This window comes from Homo sapiens, chromosome 15 (genome assembly GCF_000001405.40).
Source record: "Homo sapiens chromosome 15, GRCh38.p14 Primary Assembly".
In the NCBI taxonomy this organism is placed as follows: Eukaryota; Metazoa; Chordata; class Mammalia; order Primates; family Hominidae; genus Homo; species Homo sapiens.
Window position 1 is genome coordinate 65,860,886 of NC_000015.10, and position 8,534 is coordinate 65,869,419.

General features: G+C 42.9%; 1 non-coding gene across 1 annotated transcript, besides 2 other annotated features; it reads right to left on the minus strand.

The window, feature by feature from the left end:
* Window positions 2,405–2,454: a silencer, noted in NCBI's record as "silent region_6561". NCBI's record gives its function as "represses an Ori minimal core promoter by ATAC-STARR-seq in GM12878 lymphoblastoid cells {active_cell/tissue: GM12878}" and the evidence as "EXISTENCE:reporter gene assay evidence [ECO:0000049][PMID:35858748]".
* On the minus strand, window positions 8,177–8,248 carry TRQ-CTG1-4 (tRNA-Gln (anticodon CTG) 1-4). The gene has a single exon. It is a non-coding gene; the product is annotated as a tRNA-Gln (tRNA).
* Window positions 8,420–8,479: an enhancer, noted in NCBI's record as "active region_9609". NCBI's record gives its function as "activates an Ori minimal core promoter by ATAC-STARR-seq in GM12878 lymphoblastoid cells {active_cell/tissue: GM12878}" and the evidence as "EXISTENCE:reporter gene assay evidence [ECO:0000049][PMID:35858748]".

Below are 8,534 nucleotides of genomic sequence, written 5' to 3' on the forward strand. Positions count from 1 at the left end.
TAAAAATACAAAAAATTAGCTGGGCGGTGTGGCACGTGCCTGTAATCCCAGCAACTCGGGAGGCTGAGGCAGGAGAATTACTTGAACCCGGGTGGCGGAGGTTGCTGTGAGCCGAGATCGTGCCACTGCACTCCAGCCTGGGTGACAGAACAAGACTCCATCTCAAAAAAAAAAAAAAAAAAAAAAAAAAGGAAAGGAACCATGTAGGTGACTTAGTGGTTAGTGTGTATGAGAGTAGTGATAATGATTTTTGGCATCTGAGTATTCCAATCTTGCATTCAAGAATATCAAAGATGAGGGAGGACTTTCTGTTTTTGTGCTCTCCTTTTTCTTTCTTGATCTTGCTCTCTCTTTCCAGAAAACAATACAGAGCACCTGTTTAAAATGTGAAATTTGATGAGTTTTGAGATATGTATACACCTGTGAAACCATTAGCACAATAAAGATAATGAACATATCCATTATCCCTGCAAGTGTCAGCTGGGCTCAGTGGCTCACACCTGTAATCCCAGCACTTTGGGAGGCTGAGGCGGGCAGATCGCTTGAGCCCAGGAGTTTGAGACAAGGCTGAGCAATAGAGGGAGACCCCTGTCTCTACAAACATTACAAAAAAATTATCTGGGTGGGGTGGCATGTGCCTGTAGTCCCAGATACTTAGGAGGCTGGTGTGGGGAGGATCACTTGAGACTGGGAGGTCAAGGCTGCATTGAATCGTGATCTTGCCGCTGACTCCAGCCTGGGCAACAAACCCAGACCCTGTCTCCAAAAAGTCTTCATACCTTGTAATCCTTCCTGTCTTTCTCTACTCTGTCCCCAGACAACTACCAATCTGCTTTCTGCTTTCTGTCACCATAAGTCAGTTTGCATTCTGTAGACTTTATATAAATGAAATAATACAATATGTACTCTTTTTTCCCCCTCTGGCTTCTTTCACTCAGCATGATTATTTTCAGATTCATTCACATTGTTATGTTTATCAGTAGTTGATTCTTTTTTGTTAATGAATAATAGTCTATTGTGTGGATTTACCAAAATTTGCTTCCCCATTCACCTGTTTATGGACATTTGGGCTTTCAGTTTTTTCTATTGCAAATAAGACTGCTATCCGAGAATCGCTTGAACACAGGAGGCAGAGGCTTCGGTGAGCTGAGATTGTACCACTGCACTCCAGCCTGGGTGACAGAATGATACTCTGTCTCAAAAAAAAATTTTTTTAAAAAAGTCTGCTATGAACATTTGCATACAGCTTTTTGTGTGGGTATATACTTTCATTTCTTTTGGGTAAATACCTAGGGGTGGATCGATGAAGTTGCACAGTAATTATTCCCCTGTTCTAAGCCTTGGCTCCACATCTAGAAGTGTCATCTTTGTATCTTTATCTTTTTTATTTCTTTTTTTTTTTTGAGAAGGAGTCTCACTCTGTTGCCCAGGCTGGAGTGCCCTGGCGCAATCTTGGCTCACTGCAACCTCCGCTGCTCGGGTTCAAGTGATTCTCCTGCCTCAGCCTCCCGAGTACCTAGGATTACAGGTGCCCACCACCATGCCTGCTAATTGTTGTATTTTTAGTAGAGACGGGGTTTACCCATGTTGACCAGGCTGGTCTTGAACTCCTGACCTCAGGTGATCCTCCCACCTTGGCCTCCCAAAGTGTTGGGATTACAGGTGTGAGCCACCACACCTAGCCTAAGAAGTATCAGCTTTATCTTCTTTTTGCTCACCTGACAATTTAATATTGTGGTATTTTTGTTTTTACATTACCAAAAGGTCTAGTATTTTCTAAATAAATGATTGAGAAACAAAAATGAGACTCTACTAGTTTTTTTCTCCTCCTTTGAGTGAGCATAGTTCTTATCCACATGGGAGAATGCAGGAACATGATGGAGTCCCACAGAGCCAAGGCCAGTTCACTCCTCTAGGAGGCAGTAGTAAACACACAGCCATATACAGAGGCACATGGTGGGGGTGTGGGGAAAGGGGAGGAGCTGGCAATCAGTACGTAGCTAAAGAAATGACTCTGTGGTGGGATTTCAGAGGCCAATGGAGGTGTCTTTTCTGGGCTGGGTGTGGTCAAGGGTGAACAAGCTGATTTTGGTCTTGAAAGCCAGCCAGTCCACAGGAATTCTGGGAGACTGTCAGGAAAGAGGCAAACAGCCCCCAGAGAGACAGGGATCTTGTGAAGACTAAGGACCTCACAGGAGCCTGTCCCAGTCTTGCACCACTATCAGCCCCTTCATCCTAACCTTCTGTTTTTTGTCTTTATTATGATAAAATCTGAGATTTAAGTTCCTTTTAGTTTTCTTTGTGGTAAAATACACATAACAAAATTTACCATTTTAGCCATTTAAGTGTATAATTCAGTGACATTAGGTACATTTGCAATGCTGTGCAACCATCACCACTACCTCTTTTCTTTTCTTTTGAGATGGTCTCGCTCTGTCACCCAGGCTAGAGTGCAGTGGTGCGATCTTGGCTGACTGCAACCTCTGCCTCCTGTGTTCAAGCAATTCTCGTGCCTCAGCCACCTGAGTAGCTGGGATCACAGGCATGCGCCATCACATCAGCTAATTTTTGTATTTTTAGTAGTGATGGGGTTTTGCCGTGTTGGCCAGGGGTCTCGAACTCCAGACCTCAAGCAATCCTCCTGCTTTGGCCTCCCAATGTGCTGGGATCGCAGGCTTAAGCCACCACACCTGGCCTAGTACATTTATTTGTAAATATGTATATTTTATCACTTTTTTCTTTAAGACTAGCTGATACTTTAGTTACTACAAACAAATAATCAGGCCAGGTGTGGTGGCTCATGCCTGTAATCCCAGCACTTTGGGAGGGTGAGACAGGTGGATCACCAGAGGTCAAGAGGTCGAGACCAGCCTGGTCAACATGGCGAAACCCTGTCTCTACTAAAAATACAAAAATTAGCTGGGCGTGGTAGCATGTGCCTGTAATTCCAGCTACTCGGGAGGCTGAGGCAGGAGAATCGCTTGAACCTGAGAGGCAGAGGTTGCAGTGAGCCAAGATCACTCCACTGCACTCCAGCCTGGGGTGACAGAGCAAGACTGTCTCAAACAAACAAACAAAAACCCAGCCAATCAAAGCTGAGAATTTTCCTGATCATGTACACAATTTGTCACCTCATAATATACTATATATAATATGGTATTATATAGATTCTAATATATATAATATGGTATTATATAGATTCTGATATATATAATATGGTATTATATAGATTCTTATATAATATGGTGTTATATAGATTCTGATATATATAATATGGTGTTATATAGATTCTGATATATATAATATGGTGTTATATAGATTCTGATATATATAATATGGTGTTATATAGATTCTGATATATATAATATGGTGTTATATAGATTCTGATATATATAATATGGTGTTATATAGATTCTGATATATATAATATGGTGTTATATAGATTCTGATATATATAATATGGTGTTATATAGATTCTGATATATATAATATGGTGTTATATAGATTCTGATATATATAATATGGTGTTATATAGATTCTAATATATAATATGGTGTTATATAGATTCTAATATATATAATATGGTGTTATATAGATTCTAATATATATAATATGGTATATATAGATTCTAATATATATAATATGGTATATATAGATTCTAATATATATAATATGGTATATATAGATTCTAATATATATAATATGGTATTATATAGATTCTAATATATATAATATGGTATTATAGATTCTAATATATATTCTATATAATATAAAAGATAAAAAAGACAAAAGACAAATTTCACCTCTTTTTAAATTTTTTACTTATTTTTATTTTATTGGAGACAGGGTCTCGCTCTGTTGCCCAGGCTGGAGTGCAGTCATGCAATCACAGCTCACTGCAGCCTTGACTTCCCTGGGCTCAGGCTATTCTCCTACCTCAGCCTCCCAAGCAGCTGAGACTACAGGTGAACGCAACCATACTTGGCTATTTTTTCTTATTTTTAGTAGAGATGGGATTTTGCCATGTTGCCCAGGCAGGTCTCAAACTCCTGAGCTTAGGCAATCTGCCTGCCTTGGCCTCCCAAATTGCTGGGATTACAGACAGGAGCCACCATGCTGGGCCAAATTTCACTTCATAAGGTTTGTCAACTTTTCTCTCTCAAAAACATTTTTGTTTTTTTTTTGGAGACAGAGTCTTGCTCTGTTGCCCAGGTTGCAGTGTGGTGGTATGATCATGGCTCATTGTAACCTTGAACTCCTCGGCTCAAGTGATCCTCCCACCTCAGCCTCCTGAGTAGCTGGGACTATAGGTACATAGGTGCCATCATGTCTGGCTAATTTCTCCATTTTTTGTAGAGATAGGGGGGGTCTCGCTAGGTTGCCTAGGCTGGTCTTGAACTCCTGGCATCAAGTGATACTCCTACCTTGGCCTCCCAGGCACAAGCCACCATGCCCCATCTAAAAATTGTATTGTGAAATAAACCTAATACTATTACAAAAGTGCATAAAACTGGTATGTAGAGTTTAACACACAGTTATAAAGGGAACAACCCTGTAAAAATCCTTTGAGTTAAGAAATAGAACACTGAGGCCGGGCGCGGTGGCTCACACCTGTAATCTCAGCACTTTGGGAGGCCGAGGTGGGTGGATCACTTGAGGTCAGGAGTTTGAGATCAGCCTGGCCAACATGGTGAAACCCTGTCTCTACAAAAATACAAAAATTAGCCCGGTGTGGTGGTGCATGCCTGTAATGCCAGCTACTCAGAAGGCTGAGGCAGGATAATCACTTGAACCTGGCAGGCAGAGGTTGCAGTGAGCCGAGTTAGTACCACTGCACTCCAGCCTGGGCGATAAAGAGAGACTCCATCTTGAAAAAAATAAGAAAAAAGAAAGAAATAGAAGAGTGATAGGTTTATTTAACAAATGGAAGCCACTATGGAAGCTTTCTGTGTCAGGCCGGTGGCCCCCAGGCTCTGCTTTATGGGATACTGACGGGAGGAACGTCTGTCCCTGGGCATTCTTCCTGAGACCTAGGGAGTGAGTTCGCTTTCTTCAAATGAGCTAGGACAGGGAGGTGAGGATCATGGCACCCTGCCCCTTTCCCATCATAGGCTCTGGCCTCGCATCTGGCTAATTCTTAAAATAATAACTCATGGTTCTCAACTTTGGTAACTATTAACATTTTGGGCCAGATAATTCTTTTTGATGGGAGTGCTATCCTGTGTGTTGTAGAACGTTTAGCAGTATCCCTGGTCTCTACTAGATACCAGTAGCACTCCCAAGTAGTGACACTAAAAATGTCTCCAGATATTATCAAATGTCTCTGGGGACCAAATTGACCCGTTGAAAATCATTGCATTTGGCCAGGTGCAGTGGCTTATTCCTGTAATCTCAGCACTTTTGGAGGCTGAGGTGGGAGGATCGCTTGAGCTCAGGAGTTCAAGAACAGCCTGGGCAAAGATGGCAAAACCCCATCTCTACAAATAATACAAAAATTAGCCAGGTGCGATGGCGCACACCTGTAGTCCCAGCTGCTTGGGAGGTGGAGGTGGAGGTGGGAGAATTGCTTGAGCCCAGCATATGGAGGTTGCCGTGAGCTGACATCGCACTACTGCACTCCAGCCTGGGTGACGCAGCAAGACCCTGACTCAAAAAAAAAGAGAAAAGAAAATCAATGCATTCATAAATATTTATTATATGCCATGCATGATATTAACAGCTATACATTGTTACTTAATTCCTTCTTCCTGTTTGTCCCCATTTTGCAGGTAAGAAACTGGGATTCAGCAGGATTAAATTATTGAAATTGACACAGCTTTAGTGAATGGCTGAGCTGAAGTATAAACACAGACTTATCAGTCCTCACTTTGTTTTTAACAAACATGTAAAGTTACCTCCCCAGATGTGGAGGGTGAGATATATTTCAGGTCTTGCTTCTCCCCCATAGTCTAAGGCTAGGCATTTCTAAATTTATAATTCCAGGCTTTTTACTAGAGAGTTCCTTTTGATTTTCTTACCAACTGTACTAGTCAGGGTTCTCTAGAGGAACAGAACTAATAGGATAGACACATATATAAAGGGCAATTTATTAAGTAGTATTAAGTCACATGATCACAAGGTCCTACAATAGGCCTTCTGCAAGCTGAGAGGCAAGGAAGCCAGTGCGAGTCTCAAAGCTGAAGAACTTGCAGTCCAATGTTCGAGGGCAGGAAACATCCAGCACGGGAGAAAGATGTAGGCTGGGAGGCTAAGCCAGTTTAGCCTTTTCATATTTTTCTGCCTGCTTTATATTCGCTGGCAGCTGATTAGATGGTGCCCACCCGGATTAAGGGTGGGTCTGCCTTTCCCAGCCCATTGACTCAACTGTTTCTGCTTTGGGAACACCCTCACAGACACAACCAGGATCAATACTTTGGATCCTTCAATTCAATCAAGCTGACACTCAGTATTAACCAACACACCATTTTTATTAGTCATGCTTGAGACTAAATTAAACATTAGTGTTCTTTTTTTTTTTTTTGAGGAGTCTTACTCTGTCACCAGGCTGGAGTGCAGTGGCGCAATCTCGGCTCTCTGCAACCTCCATCTCCTTGGTTCAAGCAATTCTCCTGCCTCAGCCTCCTGAGTAGCTGGGATTACAGGACCTTAGATAAACTTACTATCACTTTATAGCAGTAGAGAAAGCACGGAAATTGGCACTGTATTTGTTTTCTATTGCTTCTATAACAAATTACCACAAACTTGGTGACATAAAACAACACAAATTTATTGCTTAAAGTTCTGTAGGTCACAGGTCTGACAAGTGTCTCATTGGGCTAAAATCAAGTTGTCAGCAGGGCTGTGTTCCTTCTGGGGGCCTTATGGAAGAATCTGTTTCCATGCCTTTCCCAGCTTCTAGAAGCCTCCAGATTCCTAGGCTCCTGGGCCCTTTCCTCCATCTTCAAAGCCAGCAAGGGCAGATTGAGGTCTTTTCAAGTCACATCACTCTGACCTCTTCTGCCTCCATTTTCCACTTTTTTTTTTTTTTTTTTGAGAACGAGTCTCTCTCTGTTGCCCAGGCTGGAGTGCAGTGGCGTGGTATCAGCTCACTGCAACCTCCGCTTCCCGGGTTCCAGCAATTCTCATGCCTAAGCCTCCAGAGTAGCTGGGACTACAGGCACCCACCACCACGCCAGACTAATTTTTTGTATTTTAGTAGCGACAGGGTTTCACCTTGTTGGCCAGGCTGGTCTTGAACTCTTGACCTCAGGTGATCCACCCACCTTGGCCTCCCAAAGTGCTGGAATTAAGGCCTGAGCCACCGTGCCCAGCCCATTTTCTACTTTTAAGGACCTTATGACAACACTGGGCCCACCCAACTAATCCAGGATAATATCCCTAATTTAATGTCAGCTGATAAGCAACCTTAATTTCATCTGTAACCTCAATTCCCCTTTGCCATGTAACCTAACCTATTCAGTCTCCAGGAATTGGGAAGTGGACATCATTGGCAGGGGGCATTATTCTGCTTGTTATAGGCATACTTGCCCACAAGTCTAAATCGAGAGTTTGCATATAGGAGGTAGGAGGTGTGACAATAATTGGATAAAGGCTTTTCTGGAATGACAAAATTCTCTTCAAATACAGGGAGGCCCTGCGACATGATATCTGGCAAATCACTTGAGTCTTAGTATCCAAACTTCCGCTAAAATGGAAATTACCATCCTTTGCTTGGCATGTTAAATGAAATACTTATGTAAACGGACTTAGATTAGAGGCCTACAAATAGGACTCAAGTTCTTGATGAATCTTGATGAGGAGGGTGGGCGAAGTACTCTAAATGAAAATGAGATAGATTGCGAGATTTCCGGAGAGGAGTGAGTGACAAGCGCCTACCCGTGCATGAAGCTGGAGGTAGAAAATTCCAGCAAAAGGAATTTTCAAGTTTCACTGAAGCTTTTGAATCAAGGCTTGAAAGCCCAGGGTTAAAAAAAAGGCAGTGAAGAAGCTCATTAAGACAACCCCCCGCCAGGTAGCAGATAGCACCTGAAATGCAGTGGGAAATTTGTGAGGTCTTCATAGGCAAGGATTAAATTTTACATCTCCATCTTAAGATGTGTCATAGTTGTTCAATTACTTAGTGACCAAAAAAGTGAATTAAAGATGTTGTCAAGATTAAAAAAACAAAAACCAATGCAGGTTCCACCGAGATTTGAACTCGGATCGCTGGATTCAGAGTCCAGAGTGCTAACCATTACACCATGGAACCGCCACGCATGTGTAGCTGCCTTCGGCTGTCTAATCCTCAGAGAACCCCGCCCCCATCCACAAACCCACCACTCACAGGCGGTCCCGCCTGGTTCCAGCGAGCCGCTTCCGGCACGGTAGCTCGAGAAATGAGCAAGCGGCCACTAAGACTATGGTAGCTAGGAGTTCCAGGACTCAGTTTCCCCTTTGAGCCTCCTTTAGCGACTAAAGCTTGAAGCCCCACGCATCTCGACTCTCGCGCACACCGCCCTTGTTGGGCTCAGGGGCGGGGCGCCGCCCCCGGAAGT